At 37.0% G+C, this 27,844-nt stretch overlaps 1 protein-coding gene across 52 annotated transcripts in view; it reads left to right on the top strand.

Annotated features, from left to right (window-relative positions):
• Nucleotides 1-27,844, top strand: part of DLG2 (discs large MAGUK scaffold protein 2) — a 2,173,362-nt gene that overhangs the window by 1,344,276 nt on the left and 801,242 nt on the right. For 6 of the 52 annotated variants that reach the window (NR_165353.1, NM_001142700.2, NM_001377974.1 and 3 more), the window contains exon 1: nt 10,818-10,947. The exons of the other annotated variants lie outside the window; for them this stretch is intronic. Coding sequence is in view for 5 of the 6 variants with exons in the window: in NM_001142700.2 (NP_001136172.1) it covers nt 10,843-10,947 (105 nt within the window). In the remaining variant the exon portion in view is untranslated. Of the gene's footprint in view, nt 1-10,817; nt 10,948-27,844 lie in introns of those variants that run through there. 52 annotated transcript variants of the gene reach the window in all.

Below are 27,844 nucleotides of genomic sequence, written 5' to 3'. Positions count from 1 at the left end.
CACGCCTGGCTAATTTTGTTATTTTTAGTAGAGACCAGGTTTCTTCATGTTGGTCAGGCTGGTTTTGGACCTCAGGTGATACACCTGCCTCTACCTCCCAAAGTGCTGAGATTACAGGCATGAGCCACCGTGCCTGGACCATTTTTTGTTTTTTTGTTTTTAAGAGTCATGGCTGAATTCACCATAGATCTTTTTAATACAGAAAATCCTGGTAAATATACTAACATATATTTTTGAAATTGTAATTAGCTTTTATCTATTTAGGCCCCATTAATAGTAATAATATCAAGCAAACCTTTAAAGAGTCTTATATTCTAGGTACTGTGCTGGAGCTGGCTGTACATTGGCTTCTGCTCTCTGAGCTTACAGTTTAGTGGAGGAGGAAGAAAATTAAAAAGTAAATACTATGGAGGAAAAGGAAGCAAATAGGATTCAGGGAGGAAGAAAACTAGGAGGTTACATCCTTTAGACTAGGGTGTAATGGTGGTTAGGAAAGGTGAATCTACAATTACCTTATATAATTACTGATCACTGGTCAAATGTATGTTGGACTAATAACCAAAAGATGTGAATTTAATCTTAGATCTATTACTTAATTCTTACTTGTTAAATAAATCAGTAAAGTTAAATTAATTTCATAAACACTAATAATAGTGCTTACTATGTGCCAGGTTCTGCTCTAAAGTTTTATCAATATTAACTCATTTAATCCTCAACAATCCTATGAGATAAGTACTATTATCTCACAGGCTCTATTTACAGAAACTATGGAACTTGGCCATGGTCACAAGGCTAGTTAGTGGTGATGTCAGTTACTTTAGCCTCTGTGAACCTATTTCTCTATCTGTATATTACGAATAAGACCTTCATGGGGATGCCATGTGGGAAAGTAGCTTTTTAAGCAGTAAAATGATAGATATGCATTGTTATAATTTTAGTGTCAGTTGTAAAGTCAATATTACAATGATGTAGGCTCTGAACTTTAAATACTATGGGGAAACTAGAAATTTTAGGATAGAGGACCTCACCCTCCAGAGAGTTTACTCTATCACAGGAGAGAGATTACCAGCATATATGACATAGTACATACTTCAAAATTACATGAAGTGGTTCTGCTAAATTTAGGGCCATACCTATAAGTGCTGAGTTGTGAGGAAAATGGGATTGTTGATGTTTAAAATATACCTATAGATCATTGAGTTATGGCTCTGAAAGAACTTGAGAGTTGGTTGCATCTAATCCTTTCATTTTAAAATTGAGTCATTGAAGCATGTCAAAGCAAAATGACTGAACCAAGATCTTACAGCTAAATTAGAGCAAGAACCATAACTAGAAGTAAGGTCCTGGATGGTAAAGTCTTGGTCTTTTTCTCTGATTAAACTTATCCATATCCTCTGCCTCCCTTCCTGCTGGAAGGTCATTGCTTTCTAAGCTTTTTTTTCTCCCCCAACCCCTCTTCAAGGAGACAGATTGAACTGCAAGATTACAGCATTAAATGATGAGTGCTTATCACTTATGATAAGCCCCAGGAGTATAAGACTTCCTGATGGTTTCTCTAGAAACTTAAAAAAATTTAAATAGCTTCACTGAGGTACAGTTTGATGAGTTTTCACATATGAAACCATCAATTCAAGATACTAAGCATATCCATCACCCCTCTGCAAATTTCTTCATGCCTTTTTGTAATCTCTCCAGACTTTTGTAATCCCTCCCTCCAACTACCTTATCCTACCTGCTCTACCTCCCCATTCCCAGTCAACTATTACTCTCCTTTCTGTCTTTATACATTAACTTGCATTTTCTATAATTTTATATAAGTGAGATCATATAGTATGTACTTTTTGTTTGTCCTCTTTCACTCAACATGATTATTTAAAGATTAGTCCATGTTTTTGCATGTGTCAATATTTCATTCTTTTTTATTGCTGAACACTATTCTGTTGCATGCAAATACCACAATTGTTTAATCTATTCATCTTTTGATGTTATTTCAAGCTTTTGGCTATTACAGATAAAGCTACTATGAATATTTGTATAAAAGTCTTTGAATAGACATGTGCTTTTATTTATCCTCAGTAAATGCCTAGGAGCAGAATCATTAAATCCCAGGGTAGGTACATATTTAACTTAAGAAAAAAATACTGACCTGTTTCCAAAGGGGTTGTACAATTTTTTATATTCTCACCAGCAGTGTATGAGACTTCCAATCTTCCACATCATCACCAACACTTGATATGGTCAGTCTTTTTAAATATTAACCATTCTAATAGGTATGTAGTAGTATCTTACTGGGGTTTTAATTTTCATTTCTCTAACAAGTCATGATGTTGATTATCTTTTCAGATGCTTATTTGATACCTATATCTTCACTGGTGAAGTGTCTGTTTAAATCTTTGGCTCATTTTTGGGTTTTTTTTTCTGATTGAATTTTAAGAGTTATTTGTTTTATCACATGGACACAGGAAGGGGAACATCACACTCTGGGGACTGTTGTGGGCTGGGGGGAGGGGGGAGGGATAGCATTAGGAGATCTACCTAATGCTAAATGATGAGTTAATGGGTGCAGCACACCAGCATGGCACATGTATACATATGTAACTAACCTGCACATTGTGCACATGTACCCTAAAACTTAAAGTATAATAATAATTTTAAAAAAAGACAAAAAAAAAGAGTTATTTGTTTTTTAGAAACAAGTCCTTTATGAGATGTATGATTTGTAAGTATCTCTTTTCATTCTGTGGCTTCTCTATTTTCTTAACAATATTTTTTAAAGAACAGAAATTTTTAATTTTAATGATGTCTGATTTATCAGTTTGTTCTTTTATGGATTTTGCTTTTTGTATTCTACCTAACCCAAGGTCATAAAGATCTTCTCTCATGTTTTTCTTTAGATGCTTTATTTAGGTTTTACATCTAAGTATATAATCCACGTTGAGTTAACATGTAACAAGAGGTGTGAATCAAAGTTTGTTGTTTTGCATATGGATAACCAATTGTCCCTGCATCATTTATTGAAAATATTATCTTTCCTTTATTAAGTTGCCTTTGTACCTTCATTAAAAATCAGTTATCTAGGCCGGGCACGGTGGCTCACGCCTGTAATCCCAGCACTTTGGGAGGCCGAGGCGGGCGGATCACGAGGTCAGGAAATCGAGACCATCCTGGCTAACACAGTAAAACCCCGTCTCTACTAAAAATACAAAAAAAAAAAAAAAAAAAAAAAAAAATTGGCTGGGCATGGTGGCAGGCGCCTCTAGTTCCAGCTACTACTCGGGAGGCTGAGGCAGGAGAATGGCGTGAACCAGGGAGGCGGAGCTTGCAGTGAGCTGAGATCGTGCCACTGCACTCCAGCCTGGGCGACAGAGTGAGACTCCGTCTCAAAAAAAACAAAAAACAAAAAAACAGTTATTTATAGATGTATGGTTCAACCCCTGTAGTCACTATCTGGGATTCAGTTTTCAGAGCATGAAATCTTAATATTATATCCTCTTTTTTCTTTTTTTGTAGTTTTCAGTGTACATGCCTTGCACACTTTAAAAATCAGTTTTATATAATCCCAGCACTTTGGGAGTCAGAGGCAGGCAGATCACCTGAGGTCAGGAGTTTGAGACCAGCCTAGCCAACATGGCAAAACACTGTCACTACAAAAAATACAAAAATTAGCTGGGCATGGTGGTGTGCGCCTATAGTCCCAGCTATTTGGGAGGCTGAGGCATGAGAATTGCTTGAACCCGGGATACAGGGGTTGCTTGGGTGATAGAGCGTGACTCCGTCTCAAAAAAAAAAAATCAGGTTTATCCCTAAGTTGTTAATATTTCAAAAATTTGTCGTAAATTGCATTATTTTTTATTTTAATTTCTATGAATTTATTGCTAGTATATAGAGACACAATTGATCTTTGGATATTAATCTTGTGTTCTACAACCTTGTTAAATTTGCTAAAGATTCTACTAGCATTTCTTTAGAATTCATGAGATTTTCCACAGATAATTATGTCATGTGTAATAAAAGCATCTTTATTTCTTTGTTTCCAATCTGTATTTATTTTACTTGCCTTGTTACACTGTTTGGAACCTCTCCGACAATGTTGAATATAAGTGGTGAGAAGGGACGTACTTATCTTGTCCTAAGAGTTTTTTGTTAAAACCAGAAATAGATATTGGATTTTGTAAAATGTTGTTTCTGTGCCTACTAAGATAATCGTTAAGTTGTTAATTAGTTTTGTTTCTTTAAAAAAAAGTTAATAAATGCTCCTAATTCTATCCCTCCCTTAGCACCCCCATGCCACAACAGGCCCCAGTGTGTGATGTTCCCCTCCCCGTGTCCATTTGTTCTCATTGTTCAACTCCTACTTATGAGTGAGAACATGTGGTGTTTGGTTTTTTCTTCTTGTGTTAGTTTGCTGAGAATGATGGTTTCCATCTTCATCCATGTCCCTGCAAAAGATGAGAACTCATCCTTTTATATGGCTGCATAGTATTCCATGGTGTATATGTGCCACATTTTCTTTATCCAGTCTATCACTGATGGGCATTTGGATTAGTTCTAAGTCTTTGCTATTGTGAACAGTGCCACAATAAACATACATGTGCATTTGTCCTTATAGTAGAATGACTTATAATCCTTTGGGTATATACCGAGTAATGGGATTGCTGGGTCAAATGGTATTTCTAGTTCTAGGTCCTTGAGGAATCGCCACACTATCTTCCACAATGGTTGAATTAATTTACACTCCCACCAACAGTGTAAAATTGTTCCTATTTCTCCACATTCTCTCCAGCATCTGTTGTTTCCTTTTTAATGATGACCATTCTGTCTTGAGATGGTATCTCATTGTGGTTTTGATTTGCATTTCTCTAATGACCAGTGATGATGAGCTTTTTTCATATGTTTTTTGGCTACATAAATGTTTTCTTTTGAGAAGTGTATGTTCATACCCTTCACCCACTTTTTGATGGGGTTGTTTGTTTTTTTCTTGTAAATTTGTTTAAGTTCTTTGTAGATTCTGGATATTAGCCCTTTGTCAGATGGATAGATTGCAAAAATTTTCTACCATTCTGTAGGTTACCTGTTTACTCTGATGCTAGTTTCATAGGCTGTGCAGAAGCTCTTTAGTTAGATCCCATTTGTCTATTTTGGCTTTTGTTGCCATTACTTTTGGTGTTTTTGTGACGGGTTGATGGGTTCAGCAATCCACCATGGCACATGTATATCTGTGTAACAAACCTACATGTTCTGCACATGTACCCCAGAACTTAAAGTATAATAAAATAAATAAATAAATAAATAAAATAATGTTTACTATTTCATAATTACAATTTGTGAAAATAGTTAACGAGGTGTTCAACATATGAATAAATTCATTATTTAATTTTCAGGAAAAGAAAACTTAATAAATTTCATTGGTTCATTTGTAAATGTTAAACCAATTTCGTATTCCCAGGATAAAGCCTACTTGGTCATGATGCATTATCCTTTTTATATATTGTTCGATTAAATTTGCTAAAAAATTTTTTAAGAATTTTTGCTTGTATATTCATGAGGGTTTATTGATATTAGCTTTTCTTGTAATATCTTCATCTGGTTTGGGATTAGGGTAATGCTGGCCTCAAAAAAAAAAAATGATCTGGAAAGTATTTGTTCCTCTTGAGTTCTCTGAAAAATTTTGTGTAGAATCGTTATTATTTCTTTCTTTAAAATATTTAGAGGGAATTTATCAGTGAAGCCATCTGGGCCTGGAGTTCTCTTAGTGGGATGATTTTAATTACAAATATCTTTAATAGCTTATGATGTGACTATGTAAAGTACTTATTTCTTCTTGATTAGTTTGCATCTTTCAAGGAATTTGTCCATTTCATCTAAGGTATTAATTTTTGGGGGGAAAAAGTTGTTTATAAGATTTTCTCAGCCAGGTACAGTGGCTCATGTTTTATAATCCTAGCACTTTGAGAAACTGAGGCTGGAGGATTGCTTGAAGCCAGGAGTTCAGGACCAGCCTGGGCAACAAAGTGAGACCCTGTCTCAAAAAAAAAAAAAAAAAAAAAAAACTTAGCCAGGCGTGTGGTCCCAGCTACTCAGGAGGCTGAGGCCAGAGGACTGCCTGAAGCCAGGATTTCAAGTCTTCAGTGAGCCATGATCATAACATTAGACTGTCTATAAGAATAAATAAATAAATATATACCTACATACATAAAGATTTCCTTATTAGCTCCTCATGTTTGTAGGATTGTAGGATTGGCAGGGATGTCATCTTCCTCCATCTTGATTTTGATAATTTGTTTCTCCTAATCAGTCTTGCTAGAGTGTCATCAATTTTATTGATATTCTCAAAGAACCAGCTTTCATTTTCATTGGTTTTCCTCTATCTTCTGTGCTGTTATTTTTTATTTCCTTTCATTTGCCTACTTTGGGTTTAATTTGCTATATTTTTTTTCTCGTGAAAGATGGAAGCTGAAGTCAGTAATTTGACACTACCTTCTTTTCAAATATAAGCGTGTAGTGATATGTATGTTTCCTTAATTACTGCTTTAAGGGAATCCAGCAAATTCAATATATTGTAGTTTATGTTCATTCAGTTCAAAATATATTCTCATTTTTAATTTTTTTCTTTAACCAGTGAGCTATTTGGAATTGTGTCATTTATTTTCTTAATATTTTGAGAGTTTCCAGAGATTGTTCTGTTATTGATTTTCAACTTAGTCCTATTATAGCCAGAGATTATATTTCCTGTGACGTGAATCTTTTTAAATTTATGAAAATTTGATTTCAAGTTAAAAATATGTTCTATCTTGGTAAATACTATTTGAGCACTTAAAAATGTGTACATTTTGCTGTTGTGGAGTAAAATATTCTATAAAGGTTTATTAGCTCAAATTGGTGCCTAGTTTTATACAAGTCTTCTCTATCTTTACAGATTTTCTATTTGTTCTATTAATTATTTAAAGGTGTTGATATCTTCAATTATAATTGTGGATTTATCTATTTCTACTTGCTGCCTTGATCTTCCCAGCAAACCAATTCTGTCTTCTCAACGCAACAAGTCCATTGGCCACAACTGGATTCCTCCTTTCTGGAATATGGCCTGGAAGTTAAAGGCTATAAGAATTAGAAATCACAGGGCCCACCTTGTTTGTTTCTTTTCTCTCTGTGTTCATTGTTTTTTGTCTCATGTGCATTCTTGAAACCCATTCTTTCCTACATTGTGTCCTTTTGTTTGGTTATTTTAGGTGGGAATGCAAATCCAGGCCCTGTTACTCTATTTTTACTGGAAGTGCAATTGTCATGAAGTTAAATTTAAACCATTCACCAGCAGAAAGCACTCAACGTATGGTAGTCCCACCATACAAAGGTACCGTTAGGTATTCTGAGGTCTGCAGTCTAAGTTAGAGCATCGTGACATATTTAGATGTGATAGACATGTAGCCTAGTGACTGCGTGTTTAATGGAAAAAAAATGGTAGCAATTACTTATCAAGCATCGTGCTAACAGGAAGAAAATACATATGCTCCACTTGTGGGCAGAGACAGTTGCACACTGAGTGATAGTAGAAAAGAAACAGAGGATTGACATAATATTACATTTATCTTTGTGTTCTCTATTTCTAGCACAGTTCTTGGCACATAGTAGAGCTCAATAAATGTTTGTTAAACTGAGTCAAATTGAACTAAGTTAAATATTTGATAAGGTAAATATTGGATTTATAGTGGACCCCACTTGAACTTAGAAAGTAGGAAGTTTAGAACTTATGAAAGTGGGCAGGAATACAAAACACGTAATATTTGCTTAATGAAAAATAATAAGTAATATAACCTAAATGATTGAGCCACCTAGGGCCTCCAAACGTATATCAATGTGCCTATTTCAAACAGTGAGGAATAAACACATAGAACTTATCACCTCAAGAGGTTTAAGAAGATTTTCACTGAATTTATGAACATGAATTATCTGTGAGTTGGTTAAAGGTAATATTGGTTAGCATCAAGAATAGGAAGCTATTAGTTTTCAATCAAGAATAAGCTCAAATTTGGTCTAAATCTTAATTTTAAGCTGGGTAATCATTGATTTACAATTTTTTTCTTGGTGTCACATTTCTTCCAAAACAATAATCAATGAAGCCTTTCCCACCCTGTGCCTTTGCTGTACCTTTCCTTTCTCAGAATTCCCCCTATATCTGTATAACTAAATACTACCCTAACAACAGACTCTAGCAAAGTGCTAAATCTTCCATGAGCCTGCCCTAATGTCCACCATGGATATAATCTCTTCTTTTTCATTGCTTTCTAAATAGTTTATGCTACCTCTTTTATGGTACTTACACGTTTTTAAATTTGCCTTTTTGTTATTTGTGCTGATTTACCATCCCTTCTGTTAGATTCTCCTTAAAGGTAGAGGCAACATCTGATGTATTCATTTGTCCAAAGTACTACCAAAAATTATAGCACGGCTGGGTGTGTGGCTCATGCCTGTAATCCCAGCACTTTGGGAGGCTGAGGCAGGTGGATCACGAGGTCAGGAGATCAAGACCATCCTGGCTAACATGGCGAAACACCATCTCTACTAAAAATACAAAACAATTAGCTGGGCATGGTGGCGGGTGCCTGTAGTCCCAGCTACTCAGGAGGCTAAGGCAGGAAAATGGTGTGAACCTGAAAGGTGGAGCTTGCAGTAAGCTGAGATTGTGCCACTGCACTCCAGCCTGGGCGACAGAGCGAGACTCCGTCTCAAGAAAAAAAAAAAAATTATAGCACATGGGAGATGCTTGATATGTTTGTTGGATCAATGAATAAATGAATGAATGCAAGATTCAAAGGGCAGTTTTTAAAACTGTTTCCACACACAAAGACTATGAATTCTTTACCTTTTTTTCCCCAAAAACTAAAGAGAAGAGGATTTTTAGGACATGCTCTTTAAAGGAAAGAATAAAGGAACCTGATAAACAGGAGGTTGGAAAAGCCTCACAAGACCCAGCAAGTGGGGTCTGGAATAATGATAAGCATTTGCTTAAGAATTTCAGAGAGGAATGACTGGGATTTTGGAAGGTAACTTAAAAGACAGCTTTTTATTTTCCTGTTGTTTCCTGAGAAATTCAGAACATTTACTAGTGAAGGAATATTTTCTGAAAGTTGTGGGCTGGCTGGTCGACAATGCATGGAGAAGAAGCATGTGGCTGGGGCAGATGGGAGACTATAAGGGCAGGAATGAAGGCAGAGGAGGGACTGTGGGTGTGAGCTGAACAGAACACCATGAATGAGAAAAAGAGAAGGTTGGTTGAATTGATATTGAAAAACAAACTGTCTAATGGCAATAGCCTTATGGTGTGTGCTCGTGAAGTACTAAGGAAAAACAATTTCCCTACAAATTAGGTAAAATTTACAAATTAGGTAAAGATTTTGAAAGATCAGTTCTACTTTTCATTCCTTCAGTTCAAAATTGAAAAGAAATGAAGGTAAGAGGAAAACTTCCCTGGTGTCAGCCTTTGAGACTTTAACACTACAAGGGCATTAGTATGAACCAGTCTACCATCATCAGGGTACAAATGGAGGAAAACTAGGTAACCCAAATCATGCTGCTCTTCCAAAAATAATACAGGGAAAATATTTCGTGTATGTTATCAAACTGTTTCCTACAATTTGTACCTTGTTTGGTCTTCCTTGGATTTTCTAGGTCAATTAAATGCATAATTTATTATGCTGTGAGTTTCTCTCCTTTTGCCTCTTACCTCTTGACATGCTTGAGTAAATATCACCATTGTTGACTGTGCAACCAGCCCTTAGAGTACGGATTCCTTTGGAACTTCCAAGTGCTCTGAGCATCACCTTCCAAGATGCCTTACCTCCTAGCACCTTCTAGCTCAGCAATCCTACAGAGACATTAGGGACTGGTGGAGCCTCACCTCCCTGTGTGGGTACTGTCCTTGGTGAAGGGAATTGAGAATATGTCCCTAAATTCTGTTCATATTTTATTTCATGCTTATACGAGTCTTTTTTGTTGTCGAAGTGCACATGCATATTTCTTTGGAATTAACACATTCCAGCCTACTCTCATTTCCCGAGAACATTTAAAGACACGATTCTCCTTGTATTATCTATGTAAATTTTATCTAGAATAAGGAATAAAAGTGACTTTTCTTCAATATATAGGCAACATAAAGTTCTTCTAGTTACTCTTACATTTTATGATGCCTTCTGGCTTGTCTTTAGAGATAATCCCAGATAAACAACTCATAGTGCCATTAAGACAGTAATACTCTGTAGGTGAAGAATATGTCACATCTAGCTCTTAACTAAACTGAGAGGAGAGCTGGACATATTAAATGACACTGTGAGTATGCATGTATATAGTTGTATTTCTGACACAGCAAACAAGTGCTGACATCTGTATATGTACATATATGTGTGTATATAACCGACTCCCTTCAATGTTACTACTTTTCACAAGCTACTTAAATTCCACCACCATGACCTGCCACCCAAATCTTCTGGTAGGAATATTTTTTCACATCTCTCTTCTTCCTACTTCTTTCCCCCTACACGCTTATGGTATGTGCCATTTCACCAGACCCGTGTGAAGACAGGAGAGCACTGATGGGATTGCTTTTCACAAGTGTAGGAATGAAAATTCTTCCCGATGAAAACATCTGTCTCTGTTCAAGTCATGCCCAGTTATCCCCCAAAAGAAATGTTCTGATTAACTTTTTTTTTAAGTCTTAAGATAGCAGTTTGTGTAGCAGATCTAATTAAGAAGTTTATGTAACAGATCTGCAGGGTTTTTTTTTTTTTTTTTTTTTTTCCTCTTCAACTGGGTTCTGTGAGCTCAGTTTGAGTGTTACCAGCTTTCGCTATGCAACGGCCAAGTGTTTCTCGGGCTGAGAATTATCAGCTTTTGTGGGATACTATTGCTTCCTTAAAACAATGTGAACAAGCTATGCAACATGCATTTATTCCGGTAAGGAAAATTTTCTTTTATTTTCCTAGGGATTCTTTTATTTATTCTTCCTTTTTCTCCTGTTGTATCTATAGAGAAATGTATAAATTCTGTGCATTTGATGATCATAGTTATTTTCTCTGTAGTTCTCATTCAGGCTAAATATATGGTTTTTCTCTGTATGAATTCCTAATTCTTAATATGTCCAAGCATTAATCGGTGAGAAAGAATAAACAGTGGTCCAATCAAACTCATCCCACTGAAGACAGTAGTTTCTAATAGTGGCATGTACTAAAGAAAGGAAACAATATTGATATTCCATATATTAATGTTTGAAATAAACTGCAATGTTTATTTCCCCATTGGTTCCCCCAGAGCTACTTGAATATCTTTTGCAGTTAGGTTTGATATATAGATCAAGAAACCAAAATTGCTATTCTTTACTCCAAGTAAAACCCACCAAAAAAGTTATCTTGAAAAGTATAATTGCTTCTTTAGTAAAGTAGTGATGCAATATTTAGATTTTGTAAAAATTTCTGACAGAAGTTGTGTATAGCTATGTAAAGTGAATTAGTGAATCAGTGTCATTGTGTTTTATTTTGGAGAAATAATGTTTGTGTTTATAATTTATTTAACCAGAGGAATCAGGCTGGCAACATTTGATAGGCCGAGATAAGGTAAATAGGACTACCAAGAAGAATATTAAAATGTTTGATTATTTTCATTAGATCTACTTTGAAGAATTGAGATCACCAATTAGCTATGAGAGAAGAGTCTTAAAAAATAATCTCTGCTAAAATTTATTTGGTACCTTCTCAAGAAAAACATTATTTCTGACATAGAAACTCAAGAGATATGCTTCTTTCAACAGTTGGAATAAATCTTCCTTGAAGTTCATGTTATTTTCAAGTGACTCAAGTTAGATGCCATCATATTTTTCCCTGTAACTTCGAAATCACTTAAATGTCACAAACTCTGGGCTATATTTGAAGCTCTTCTAATTGAACCACTATATTTTAGTTGGATCACGGTAAGTTGATCTTGACTACTAAAGCCATAAAGCTTATATAATTTTTGTAAGAAGTCTAAAAAACTAATGGTGGGAAACTCTCTAAATCATTTTGCTATAAGGATCCTGCTTTGAACTAGAATCTAGAAAGTATAGTTTGCTTCTCCTATGTTTATGAGACTTCTCTTCCTTTTTTTTTTTTTTTTTTTTTTTGTTATTATCAAAGTGTGATATTCCTTGTGGACCTCAAGTATTTCCTCGTTCACGGAGCCATCCCTTGCCAGGCAGGGTTATCTTCCCCCTTCTTGATTTCTTGTGTGCATCTCTGATTTATCACCTAACATTTTATTCTTAAGTGTTTCCTCTCAGTCTCTCTAATTATATTGTTACTTTTGGGGTAAATGTGAATAGGAAAGTAAGTTGGAGAAAGGAACTAACATTTATTTGTTTGTGTTGTTGTTGTCTTGTCTTGAGCTCCTTAAATACAGAAGTGCATCTATTCCCAGTGTCTAGCACAGTGCCTGGCACATAAAGAGTGCTTGGTGAGCAAGTGAGGAATGACTAAATCAACCAACAAGCGTCTCCAATTTCCAATTAATGCTTGACAGTTTTCATTATTAGCTTTGTCTTTACTGATCTCATAAAATTATTTCTATTAAAGTCCATCTGGAGAAAACTCAGAACCTTGACTATAGCATTGTGGTGGTGTAGTGGTAGGGGCAGGGATGTGTTAATACATGGAATAGACCCCTATGTGTCCAGTTAACCTTGGATTCAATTCTCATAATTCGTGGGCTACTCTGTCTTTGATTCCAGTGTGTTTCCAGTTTTGCTTAATTCACACATATATAAAATCATGCCCAAATTATCATTCAGGTTTGCTTTAGTTTTGACTGCTCTAAATCTTTTCAGAACATATTGGGAATTTGCCAATATATCTCAAGCATCTTCCAAGTCTTTATTAAACATATGATTATATCATCACAATTTCATGAGAGCTTCTTTTAGAAATTATAGCCATTATTAAAATATTATCAGTTAAGAATAACTCTTTATAAACTGACCCTCAATTTATTTTTTTGTCAGCAGAAAAGGTACTCTATGTATTCCCTGCTTTATGCACTTTTTAACCCAATGATATGTATTTCATGTACACACATGTATTTTCACTTGTATGGAATTTGTACTAATGATACACTTCATTGTTTACAGTATCGTAATAAATCCTGAAGTATACATATCCTATCATGCTGAGTCTATTATGTTAAATCAGTGACAAATATACGGCTCAAATAATTGCCTCCTTTAAAATAAACCTTGTTCTCTTTTAAATCAAATACTTGAAAATGAACAATGTCTATAAAGTATAGTCACATATTGATGTCGTTAATCTTAGGAGAATTGACCTGAAAAGGTCGTAAGCAAGTAAATGCTCTTCTGTGCATCTACTGTGAGTGTGGATTCCTAACGCATCGTTAGAATGCGGAGCCACCTAGATGGTCCGGATCATCTCACTCACACACCATAAGCTATGAATCACAACTGGTTTTTCAGTCAATGTAGTTCTGTGAACTAACAATAAACCTGACATAAAATCTCAAGTCATGATATAATCTGCCCCCAGGGAACCTCCCATATAAAATTCATATTGGTGAAAGGAACCTTAAAGTGGCTGATACCTGGATAGTGCTGCTCAAAACAGTCTTCAGAGAAGAAGGAAACCAAACTATGAAGTCCTTCAAAGTTTCAGGATTTGATTTCACATATTAGATCCTCCCCTAGAGTTAACAAGATGTAAATAAAATCTGGAGTCTCAAGCAAGTTCATCTGCTGATCCAAGAGCCACAAGTGCAAAACAGCAACACAGAACTTTTCTTATCTTTTAGCCTAAGTGTCTGGCGAATGTAAGCTCCTAAATATTTATTAAATGCATGAATAATAAAAAGTTCTCATGAAGTATTTTAAATTGGTTCCATCATTGGAGGCATAAGGACATTCTTCTAGGCAGTCAGTATTTTTGGATATTAGGCAAATCAGAGGCTTTGCAATTTTATTCAAATGAGTAGATATGCTTATAAAAACAGTCTCATAATTAGTAGTTCTTTTCATAGAGACTGGCCTGTGTTTTTATTCGTTTGTTAGTTCAATCAGCTCACTCACATTTTCTAGAGCCCCTACTATGTGTCAGACACTATTCTAGACAGGACAAGTGCCCAAAAGTAAACTTAAAACTTCTTTGTGACATCATCACTTTGTAAGAGAGATAGTATTACCAAATGGTGCCCTAATATCTCTTGCTGCAATGTACAAATTTGGTTTTCCTTATACTGCTAACAATCATATCTGGATTTCATAAAAACATTCACACAGGGATCAGTGGGTCCTAAGTACAGTTCTTATGCTCATCTTGCTGCTAGACTTGGGGCTTCTGTCAGTCAAAAAGAAGTCGCAATACTATTAATTCATTCGTTCATTCATCTCAGAAAAACTTATTCTGACCCTAATGTGAAGGTTATGCGGCTTATTAAGCATTGGGAGAGATATAAACGTGTATAAATCAGGAGAACCCCTAATTGGAATTCTGCCCCCAAGAATTTTCAAATTGATTTGCAAATCACTGTAATACCATATGCAAAATGTAGAGTATCCTAAGAGTCTATGAATTACCACAAGAATTCAGAGAAGGGGCAAGCTTCATGGAAGGCTGTCTCAGCTAGGTTTGAAGGTTAAACAGAATTTTGACGCTCAGTAATGATGGAAGAAGAGGACATTCCAAGTGGAGGAAACAGAAAAGGCACTTGTAAATTGTGTAAACACAGTCTATTTTTCCATGTGTTCGTCTATTCAATGAATGCTTATTAAATACCTTTTATGTGTCAGAAATTACGATATGCCTGGAACATCTAATAATAAATAGGGCACAGTCAAACCTTGCCCTGGGGGTATTTACCTTCTAGTGGTGGGGACAGACATTAAATAAACAGTTACACATGTATCTCTATTACACACTTGAATACTATCCTATGCAAGTTGTTTACAGTGTTTCTCACAATTGCAATTCAATATTACATGTATACATACACAGATAAACATCAATTATCAGAAAGTGTAGCAATAGTAGATACTTTCTCAGTCACTACAAACAAAACAAAAGAAATAAAACATCCTCCCAAATATGCTTTAGTTTTAAAATATAATTCATTTATCCAGCAAACAACACATCCTGCTTGCCACACCCTGGGCTAGGTACTGGCAGTTCAAAAAGTGATAGTTAATATTTACTGAGTACCAATTTTATGCCATGCACTGTTCCAAGCATTTTACATGTATTATCTCAATTCTGTCAGCAACTTCTGATGTAGGTACTATCATCTCCATTTTACAAACTGTAAAAAAGAGATGGGCCGGGCGCGGTGGCTCACGTCTGTTATCCCAGCACTTTGGGAGGCTGAGGCGGGCGGATCACGAGGTCAGGAGATCAAGACCATCGTGGCTAACTCAGTGAAACCCCATCTCTACTAAAAATACAAAAAATTAGCCGGGCGTGGTGGCATGCGCCTGTAGTCCCAGCTACTCGGGAGGCTGAGACAGGAGAATGGCGTGAACCTGGGAGGTGGAGCTTGCAGTGAGCCGAGATCGCGCCACTGCACTGCAGCCTGGGTGACAGAGCGAGACTCTGTCTCAAAAAAAAAAAAAAAAAAAGAGGTGAAGTACCTTTCCCACAGTCACATAGTTAATAAATGGAATGACTGGTCCTTGAACTCAGTGTTCCAACCTCAGAGAGCGTTATTCTTAACCACCTCATTAGAGTAAGAAGAAAACACTAAAACCAAGAAAACTATATTGCAGTGTGATTAGGAGCAGCAATTAAAAGATGTACAAACCATGGTAAATGCAGCAAGGGAAGAGTGATCCATCTGCGTGAGATGGAAAGGAAAGATAACCAGCGAAGGCTAGAAAAAGGAGAAAAGTCTTGAGACAGTTTTAAAACAGGGGTTTACAAGATGAGGGAGGTGAGAGGTTAAAAACAACTGGAACAAAGTCACTAAGGCAAGAAAGAGCAGTATGAAATGAGAGTATGTTACTAACTTTCTCCAACTTGTGATCTAACACTTTGAGCATTACAGAAGCAAGGTCAGAACAACCAGGATGAGAGTTGGGTCATATTTAAGGTCAGGAATTATACAGGTAAATCATAAAAACAACACTAAATAATTCAAGCCCACAGACAAAGGCACTGGAGCCTCAGAAGAGAACCTCAAGAAAGAGATTATTTTCAGAAACCTGGCTTAATTGTCCCTGCTATGTGTGGCCTGACCTACAGGTTGACAATGGTGCCTAGAATTGAGTATATCCATGGAGAAGCAGAGAACGTTTGTGCAGAAATGTAAAAGAATGAAACAAATGTAGAAAAAGAAAAGGAGGTGAGAAACTATGTGGTCTCAAAGAAAGACACAGAGAAATGAGGCTGAAAAGAACTAAGAGAGGCTGGACTGTGACTTTCTGGGTCCCCCAAAACTCCCAGTTCTTAGTTCCAGTTTATCAGACGGCCTGCCCTGCTGTGCTTCTTGTCCTTTTAGCCTGACAACAAATTCCAAATTTTGCTTAAGCCAGTGCAAGTGAGTTTCTATACCCACAGCCACAGAACTTTAAGATAGGGGCCAGTTAGTGACTAGTGGTACAGGAATAGGATACAGTGCTAAAGAAGATGAAGGACGGAGTTGAAGAGAAGATAAACAGATCAGCTGAGGACAGTGGTCTTCAAAGTAAGGTTGTATCCTTCAGGACTTAACTCCTATCCCCTTCCACAAGCCTTTCCTTATGCCTAGTAACCAGAAGACATGCCTTTTCCCTCCTTACTTCAACCCTGATTAACATCCCCCTGAGGAAAAATAAGAGTAGGGAAATTTCTTACCAACTACTTTAATCTATACTTTTGTACGCAATCATCACAATACCAACATGAAATGGATCATTGTTATTATCTACATTTCAGAGGATTAGTGGGGTTAAGTACCTTGTTTAAAATCTTGTGGCCAGTAAGACCAGGAAAGAACCTAGGTCTTCCAACCGTAATCCCACCTGCCTTTCTTCATGCCTGTCATGGGACTTTGTCCCTATTTCTCTCGTGCATTTTTTTCTGCTTTGGATTATAAGCATTTGGGAGGTTTCTTTTATCTCCACATGACATTATGAATTCCTTGCAGGGCAAGACTATGCACTTCTCCTCTTCCTACTTTCTGCAGTGCCAAGTATGGTTTCTTAAATATTATGTTTCCTAAGTAAATCTGCATAGATGGAATGGTGAATACTTAAGAAGGGAGAATTTAGGCAACAATGAAACGATAATGAGGAAATGATCCTTCTTGCCTCAGATAAATTCTTAAACTATGTCTCCTGAGCTCCAGCATCACATCCACCAACTCTGCCTCTGTGGTCCCTGGATGTATAGTTTGAACCATCATATGTTGAGGTCAGCTCTAAATAGGATTTGTTCAGTGATGACTTTCAGTCCCAGTTCATGGTGTTCCAAGTGCGTTTTGTCCTTTCTGGATTCTAAATAGTACTTAACTCATCATCCTCAATCATGTTGGATTCATTTCCCTGTTTCCTTCCTCTTAACCTTGCTTTGCATTTCTGTTTAGTAATACCCCAATTTTTAGTCCATTTCCTTCTGAAGAATATGAACAAGGCTATTAATGGAATTTCTATTAGTATAGGAATAAAGATGACACTTAATCTATGGAGATGTTCAATTTAAGGCAGAGAGGGGAACTACACCAGAAGCGACCTGGATAATTACAATAGCTTGGGACTGCAAGAACATTTGCAGATTGCTGGTAAAGTGGAATGAAATTGTCACTTTAGGTTTTTAACAAAAAAGCAAGAGCCTGCTATCTTTATATCTTCCTCACTTGTGAAGTTTGCATTTTCTTTGACTACCGGTCTTGTGATGCCTGTGCATACACATCTGGAGGCCACGAAAAACTAACACCAGGTGCAGGGTGCCTTCTTTGTATTCCAGTATTGCTCATTATAAAATGTTTTGATGACTCATTAAAATGGAGTATTAGCACTGATATAGTTATTGTACAATAGAGTAAAGCTTACATTCTGCCACTTCCACTTTCCATACCCATCCCAGAAATTGCAAAAATAGAACGCCAAGCTTATTTGTTACAGAACAGAAAAATAGACAGCTGTTCAGAGTTAATAATGGCAGTCCTCTTCCATGTAGCAAACCAAAATTTAAAAATATATACACATTAAAATCTGAAAAGCTTTAATGAGCTAATACTAGATATGCCATAGTTTTTGAAGCTTCATTTAGATATTTTTATTTAGCGAGAAGATGCTTAGGAGCAATGGGAATTCTCATTTTCATCATGTAGAGTTGAAAAAATTACACCAATGTTTTTACTCTTGCTGCTGCTGCTGCTAAGACTACCTCTACTACTACTACTACTACCTATCTTCCTTATATTTATTTATCTTGTTACAATTTTCAAAGTAGTATAAACTAGATTACTTCTCGTTACAACTTTCACAATTAGGCAAGACGAGTTTTATCATCTTCATAGTAGTTATATGAAAATTAAAGCTTAGAAAGTTGAAATGGCCAGGATCAGAAATGGTTAAACAGTAAGACATAATGTAGTAGGACTAAAATCCGAGTTCAGTTTTTATTCTGATTCAGAATTTCAGCTACTTGAAGGATCCTTCTTCCACCATTTGCTATCTTGGGTAAATTACTCAAATTCTCTGAGCCTAAGTTTCATCCAATGTAAAATTAGATGTTATATATAACTTTTTAGCATTGTTCGAAGTCTAACAAAATCATGTGAATTGAACTCTTAACACAGTGCCTGACCCAAAAGTGTGCCTGGTAAAGGTTGTTATTACTGTTGCTGCAAATTTTTAAATATTTTCCCAAATATATACATTTACAAATTGCATAATGTCCTCATATATGGCTACATTTGCTTCTTGAAGAACCACATGATATTGATGAAATAATAACTTTTAACATCTATACATGAATAGAAATTTTCAGAGAGATTAAATTAATTAGCTAAGACCATTGCAGAAGTGAGGAGAAAGATCTTAAATCCCAGACAGATAATCCAAGTTCTAAACTCTTTTATTACTACTTTTATGATATTCAAAATTAGACTAGTATTAAAATCAGGAATCATACGATTCTCATTATAGTTGTATATAACCTTAGAAATAATTCAGAGAGTTAAGTGACTTGACTAAGTTCTACAGGGCCACAGCCAGTCCTAGAAGCCTCGTCTGCTAAATCCAAGTGCAGGACTAGAAGATGCTCATCCTATGACATAAAAGCATAAGATACAAATGTTCTTATCCAGTAACGGTGGGTGAGGAGCAGTCACGAGATGATTGCAAATATATTCATAAGGAAGTTATCATCTCCTTTCTAGTTGGTTAGGAAAAACCTTTATAAAACAAATGAAGGTTCCAGAGTACCTGAGATTACAATTCCAATGGAAAAAGGAGTCTGAGAGCACAGAAGAGAGAGTCCCAGCCTGGGAATCATCATTTCACTCTCCAACTTGTGACAGAGTCCCCACATACCAGAAAACAACCTACTCCCTGTGCTCCTTCTCTTTCATTCTTTTTTCTTGTTATTTCCCCATCTCTCCTCTAGCCCACAGCAACAGATAATATTCCTCCTTCTTTATGTTAAACACACAGTTGTAGCATTATGCCAGGCCTACTAGGAGGTAAACTGAACAAGCAGTATCCTTGCTTTATAGAATAATTTAAAGTAAGAAAGCCACCAGAAAACTGAGAAAGCAAGAGTAACATAGACACTGCCACTGTGGGAAGCTAGAACAGCTGTGGGGCTAGGAACTGGTTGGCATTTTGGATCCAGAGATTTGTAGGCTCTTGGCTTGGAGAACAAAGACTTCATTGCCTAGTTGATGACAATATAGAAACACATCTGCAGAGTATATTCTTTGGCATCAGCAAATGCCAGCAGTATTTAGTGAACCTCTATGTTTCTAGTCCCCATTCACGTCTCCTTTTTATCTGTTATTTTTCTCCATGTTTTTCCTCATTGGAAATGTTTCCAAATTGAACATTAATTTTGAAGAAAAATGGGTTGAGGGGAGATTCTTAGACTTACAGATGTTATGAGAATTTAAAATAAGGGAAAATGAAACTAAAATATCCTGTACCCTGTTCGTCTTGTAATGAGCGCCCAAGTGCCATTGTTTAGAAACAAGTCTTGGAACATCCTCCAGGCCCACCATAAACATAAGCACATTACAGATTACTGATGGATAACAGCAAACTAAAACTCATACTTCATCTTTGCCTCTCTCCCTAAAATTTCTTCTCACACAAAAGAATCATTCTAGATATAAAATATTTTAAGACTTTCTGTATAGCCTCACCTGTTATGTTTCAAATCTTAGTGTATGATCTAGTGTCAAATTATGGTGAGTAGGGGAAAAATGAAGGCAGAGGGATTTTTTTTCTGGAGTTATACCTTATAGAAAATGGATAGAGGCAATAATGGAAGAAAGAGCTTGGTAATAATTCTCAGCTTCACTTCAAATCTTTTTTACTCTTTATATAGAAGAGAACTCCTTGCTGCTGATTACATAGTTCTTAGGCCAGAAAATTAACCTGTTTACAAGAAAAACAAAATATGAACTATGAACATAGAACAACAGGACCATATATAGATTTTTGAGGTGCCTTGTCTAAGGCATACAGGACATTATGCTTCAGCCAAGTCATTAGAAACCAATTTCTATAATTGTTCCTTATCAAATTTAACTTTTGTCTTTTATTTCTGCATGCTTTTCTTAATGTCCTGTCTCCTAACTTTCTATGTCTGAGTGGTAAAAACAGAGATCATTTCCCAGAATGAAAAGTTATACAGCATCCTTGCTTTCTTTACAGTATTTCCTAGCAGGATGAACTTTGCAAGAGTAAAATTAGATCCTTGATGAGAAGTGGACTTTCAGAAGCCATTTCCCTCTTTATTCCTTAAAAAATAAAACTAACTGGGGAGACTCAGTAAACTGCTGAATTACTTAACTTACTGGGTCTGAAACTAAGATCTCCTGACTCCCTAGTTCTGCCATCTTTATATTAGGAACATAATTCCTTGACTGGAGTGTGGTTATTTCCAGGGAGACAGAGTGCCTGATTTTTTATAGCCATGCAGGAACCACCTGGGTTGTCAGGTTGATTCCATTATCAATGACTCAAAACTTTATGTTTCTATTAAAAATAGGAACACTATGCAGCCATAAAAAGGAATGAATTAACAGCATTTGCAGTGACCTGGATGAGACAGTAGACTATTATTCTATGTGAAGCTACTCAGAAACGGAAAACCAAACATTGTATGTTCTCACTGATATGTGGGAGCTAAGCTCTGAGGATGCAAAGGCCTAAGAATGTTGCAGTGGACTTTGGGGATTTGAGGGGAAGAGTGAAAGGGGGTCAGGGGATAGAAGACTACAAATATGGTGCAGTGTATACTGCTCGAGTGATGCGTGCACGAAAATCTCACAAATCACCACTAAAGAACTTACTTGTGTAACCAAATACCACCTGTACCCCAATAACTTATGAAAAAAAAGATGATTATGGAGTAAAGGATGAAAATTGCATTCATTTTTAATATAAGACATGAGGCTTTGAATAAATGTCTAGTTTTGGGTAAGTCTTTGGGGATATATTCTCACATTTTATCTGGAAAGTTTGAGAAATGCTGTAGATGTCATTTTGCTTTGTCGTGATTTTTGAGTTCTTAGTTTTTTCTCCAAATCCCATACTTCCTCCCACCTAACTTCTCCTGAAATGTACAGTGGAATAATAAGTTAGAACAAGTAACACTGCCAGCAGCTACCATCCTTGTTCCATGCAGGGTAATGGTAAGACAAGAATATGGATTTGGAGTCAAGAGGAGTGAGCCTTGGCTCCATCTGGTTATTAGTCTGGTGATCTTGGGTAAGTTGTGTTACAGGTCCATGCCTCACTTTCCTTATCTATAAGATAATCATAATTGGAATATGTACTTCATAGGGTTGCAATGAGGAATAGGGAAGAATAAGCACAAAGTACCAGTGTATAATTAGCATAGAGGAGTCTTTCTGTTTATAATTTTCCTTAATTTTCATGCTCTGCAGTGAATAGCATGGTCTGGAGTGCATGACAGGCTCCAGATGCTCACACATGGACACCATCAAGCAGTGTGGTATAAGAGCTCATCACCAGAGGGCAGCATGCAGTTACCCCTTTCTACCCATTGTATCTAATTCTGTTGCCCCAAGAGTTTCTCATGAATTGTAACTCCTATTGCTGTGGCTCTAGTCCAATAGGTCTAAAAATCAATTAACAATTACTGTTTGAGTGTTTGAGTGTGTGTTGTATGCCCAGCACTGTTAGGAGTGTAGGTGGAGTGGCTGATGAAGAAATAGAGAGGAGGACCCTGACTTCAAAATGATTACAATTTCTGCACGGAGACATGAATATCACACATGAACCAATTAGCTATCAACATGTATAAAAATATAAAGAAATATTCATTCAGAATGTCAGGGTTTAGTGCTTTCACATAACTTATTTCCTTTAATATTTAAAATTCAGTGTGATCTGAAGTAATACAAATAATGAGTGCTTTAAAATGTGGGGAATAGGATGTATAGATTGAGTCCTGGAGTGATGATGGGGAAAGTATCATGAAGCATCTGGAACTTTAGATTGTCCTTGCAGGATGGAAAGAATTTGGTTAGAGAGATAAGATTGAGGACTGCAACTGATTTAGGATGTAGGAAAAGGAAGAAATGAAAACAAAGACATTGCGGTAGGCATGAGCAAGGTATGTGCTTGGAGTAGTAAGGATCCTTGCCTGGTGGGAGGAAAAGAGAGAAGAAGGATGGAAACTAAATAGCAATAATTTAGTGATCCCACATTGTGTATAAAACCATTATCCATGTACTACAGAAGAAATAAGCCCTACCTTAACCTAAAGAACCAGGTTATTGGCAGCTTGCTCTGAATTCTGGCACCTAAATCTGGATAATACAACTGTACTGCTAAGATTATAGCTCTTTAGTAGCTTAGCAACGAGGAACAGATGGTATCCACATGGATCTTTCCAGGAATAGCACCACATAGAGTGAATCAGTGAATTAAGTAGGTATGGTTATTATGGCATGGGGCACATTGACTAAACCACATTTGAGATTTGAGCTATTGACTCCATTTTTTGTGGGATCTTCAGAAATCATTTGCATAAATAAAGCAGATTTGTAAAAGCTCGGTGTGAGTCAGTGGGGTTTGAGGCATTATGGCCTAATGGTGAAAAGCAAAGGGCTTAGAGTCAGAACACCTGGGTTTGAATCTCAGTTTTGCTTCCTTCTAGCCATCTGACATTTTGAGAAATTCACAGAATCATTCTGTGCCTCTGTTTACTTCTCTATAGACAAGAGAAAGTTCCGTCAATCCTTCTGGGGTTCTGTAAGGAGTAAACAATAAAACACAAGTAAAAAGCTTACCATATTTGCTTGGCACACAGTAGGTAGTTGGTTAATCAATGTTAGTTCCCTTTCCTCTCACTATGGAAATTAAATGATTGAATGTGTGTGATATACTTTATATAGCATGACATTGGTGGTTGATATAATTGCCAATTTGTGTTTCAGTGTTGATCTGTAGATGTAGTTTTAGTGAGTAATTTATTTTAGCCTTTTATACTAAGTGTAAGTACGTATATGGCGAGCATGCAGGATGGAGATCTGAAGAATCTTCATACTAACAGTTCAAGCAATCCCCATTTCTTCATCCAAATAGGATTGATTCTAGAAAAAACTTATAAAGTGAAGAAAATTCTGTTTGGCATGGGGCACATTGACTAAACCACATTTGAGATTTGAGCTAATGACTCAATTTTTTTGTGGGATCTACTGGTCTCTACTTTCTGTGCTTCATTCTCCAGGCTGCTCCATCATTTCTGCACTAGAAAAAAAAGGGAAGACCAACTCAGCCTATCTGAGGTCTTTAGGATATTCATAGGATATTCATTTATTTTCTGCAAAATATTTTACTACTTTGTATTTTAAAGGAGGATCAAACAGAGATGGTAACTCTCCAGTCCAAGGGGATAAAAAATACTAATGGTGAGTGTTCAAGGATAAGTAAGACAAATTGTGTTGACTAGAACAGACTTTACTTATCAAATCTTAATAGGGTGCAGAAGCAAATGTATTGCAGTGGTTAGGATTTATCCACTTTGGAGCCAGGCTACCGTTGTCTGACTCTTGGTCCTGCTATTACCAGCTGAATGACCTTGGGCGAGTTACTTACTGTTATTAGTTTTGTTATCTGAAAGTGAGGGTAATATTATTTTTATTATTAAGAGTTCAGGCAAGCAGAGTCAAATTGATTTCAAGCCAAAACATGAATCTTCCATCCTGCTACCTTGTTTTCTGAGCTAGGCTGGTGTTAAGCTAGGTAGGTAACCATCCAGGCATTTTATTAAATGCTAGGGAAAGGGACCACAATCTTAGCTTCCTCCAAAGTTGCTTCCTTTAGACATCCTGACACAGTCTGCAGGATGAACTAGCCACGCCCTCAGGCACTCACATAGTTTATTCAGCACTGTTCGTGTCTCAGTAAGTCCAGCGGTCTTATGTCTCCGTAGAGCAGGGGCAAAGCAGGTGACAAGCCAAAGCCACTGGATGATATTAGTAGTGATGACTTAGAGCTGGGCTGGATTGAACTGCACCCACCTAGTTGTCTTGTAGAGAAGGAACTTAAAAGGAGAAGAAAATCTAGGAAAGCAAAAAGTAAAAACTAATCTCCAGTAATAAGTATAATAACCTAAGAACCTTTTTTTTTTTTTTTTTCGAGACACAGTCTCCCCAGGCTGGAGTACAGTGGCACAGTCTCAGCTTACTGCCACCTCCACCTCCAGGGGTTCCAGCCATTCTCCTGCCTCAGCCTCCCAAGTAGCTGGGTTACAGGCACCCACCCCCATGCCCGGCTAATTTTTGTATCTTTAGTAGAGACAGGGTTTCACCCTGTTGGCCAGGCTGGTCTCAAACTCCTGACTTCAAGTGATCTGCCTGGCTTGGCATCCCGAAGCACTGGGATTACAGTCATGATCCACTGTTCCTGGCCTACACATGCATTCTTTATTCAGCTAAATTCTTGAGAAATAGGTTAACTGGAAAATAGCACTGTCCCATTTTTAAGTGGGGGTTTGCAAGACATTAAGGGACCCAGAAACCTCTGATAACTGGGGAATTGAATCTAAGTCAGAACGGTGATAAATTTCTCTTCAGACTGTAAAAGAGAAACTAACAAGTTTCCAGGCAGAAAATAATTGCATTTTCAGTCTGGTCGCCTAGAAAAACTCAGGCAAAAAAAATCAAATGTTGGAGTTACCATTATGGACTCTGGGGTTAGAAAGACATGGGTTTAAAAACTGCTTGTGGCACCTCTTAGATTTGTGACCTTAGGCAAGTGACTTGCTCAGTTGGGATCTTCTTTTCTTCCTTTCTTCTCTCCTTTCTTTCTTTCATTCCTTCCTTCTTTTTAATGGGAACAATAATGTTTTCCTTAGAACATTGTAAAAATTAAATGCATTCATATATCTTAAAGTACTTATAGCATTACTGAAACATAATAAGCACCTTATATATGCTTAATACTTTATTATTGTTATTCTTGTTAACCTCAGTTTTGATACTATGTAATTGTGAGATCTGGGTTATGTCATATTCTTTGTATTCATTTTCATATTTATAGAATGTAAGAGTGTAATTAAAGGTTCCTTAAGATCTCAGCTTTAAAAGTTCTATGATTCTAGAATATATTTGTTCTTCCTATTTTGTTCTTCCTCTCTTACACAACCATCGATGTGTCTTTAATCAGTCAATTACCCATTTATTTGGGGCTTGCTCAAAGAATGCCTGAATCAGTCAGCCTGGGTATGCTGGGGCCATCAGCCTTTTCCTAGGCATGCCTCCTACAGGCCTCTTCTTATGACACACTGGGCCTCAGCAACTACACCAGAGGAAGGAGGGGAAGGTTCTTGGGCCAGCCAAGATCAAGGCACATTAAATAAATTTAGATTTGAACTGGCTTGTAACTTGTTGATCAACAGCAAAAATTAGGATCTGGCTGGGTGCGGTGGCCCACACCTGTAATCCCAGCATCTGGGGAGGCTGAGGCAGGTGGATCACTTGAGTCTAGGAGTTCGAGACCAGCCTGGGCAGTATAGCAAAACCCCGTCTCTATAAAAAATACAAAAATTAGCCAGGCATGGTGGTACATGCCTGCAGTCCCAGCTACTTGGGAGTCTGAGATGGGAGGATGGCTTGAGCTTGGGAGGCAGAGGTTGTGGTAAGCCAAGATGGGACTACTGCACTCCAGCCTGCATGACAAGGTAAGATCCTATCTCAAAAAAAAAAAAAAAAAAAAAAAAATCCAGAGATAACTGGTGAAATCTGTTTTCATTCTAAGGGGCAGTAGAACATGGCTCTGGAGCCAGATTGCTTGGGTTTGAAGATTTACCAGCTATTTACCAGCTGTGTGACTTTGAGAAAGTTATTTAACCTCTGTTTCCTCAGCTCTACTTTGAGAATAACAGTGTTTGTCTCATAGAATTGTGTGAGGATTAAATAAGTTAATTCACATAAAGTATTTGCTATATAAGTACATACACTTATTATTATCTGTCCCAGTATTAATATATCAGGGGATTTAGGTGTGGCAGGGTCATAATACTACAAACCTTCAGGTAGTGATAATTGTAGGTTCCAAGTAAATCCTCCAAATAGGAGTAGGGTCCTACTAGCACCTAGAGATGTGGAACTCCAGCCTAAAAGATTGTGGAAAAGAAGGAGAGGAAAGACAGAGTTTCGTTCCAATGGAGAACTAAAATGTAATTCAGGAAATGAAGGCGGAAGTCACTCCCCCAACCATGCCACATTTTTTTTTTCCAGAGTAAGCCAACATAATAGAGGGTTATGGGGGAAAATCTAATACACAATACAGTTATCCTGTGTTCAACACTCAGCATATCTAATCCGGTACTTAATGTTAGATGTCTTACTTCAAAGTTGATGGGGTATGTGCATAGTAACCCCAATATTCTACTTCCCTAGCCAGGATTAGCATATGGTCTGACTGGGGCTCATCCCGATGGAAATCTTCTGTGTGAATTGTGAAGCAAAAAGTTTGCTAGCATGCTATCTTGTAGCTGCCAGTCTAAAACAGCTAATATTTACCTTGAGGTTCTGGGATCTCCACCTCTCATAATGAAATCACACACATACACATGCACACACATACACCCACATACAGGACTCATTTTCAAACTTTCAGTGGCTTCCATTTTGTTTCAAAATGTCATGCCATACCATATATAAAAGTCATTTATAGGGCCTGTGTCCCTCTAAATAGACAAGAAATCTTGCCCACTCAGTAATCCTGTCCTGTAAGGCTGATAAGATAAGCCAAAGGTATCCAAAAACAGCTCATATGTTATTCTTGCACTATTTTACCACCTATTTAAATTGGCGTAATGACAATCACCTGCCTTCCATTTGCATGTCCCGGGTCAGCTGAAATCCCTGCATAGTTCCTAGTACCATGAGTGTTACTGTTAATTTCTTGCTGATCTAGTTCTCTCCTTTTCTACCTTGCTTCTTAAAAGTCTAGGTACTAGATTAAGTCTTTTGACCTTCCCACTGATTAGCCTACACTTCTCGGAGCTAAGCTACATGAGAGTGTTTCTTGGCTGACTAGCTACTCTACATTTCCTGCCAATACCTTGCTTGAGGAGGCTTCTTCACCATAGTTGGCTTCATGACCACCTGTCCACATATGTCAGAGGCATTTCCCATATCT

Source organism: Homo sapiens, chromosome 11 (assembly GCF_000001405.40).
Source record: "Homo sapiens chromosome 11, GRCh38.p14 Primary Assembly".
Taxonomy (NCBI): Eukaryota; Metazoa; Chordata; class Mammalia; order Primates; family Hominidae; genus Homo; species Homo sapiens.
This window is presented reverse-complemented; position numbering and strand designations above follow the sequence as displayed.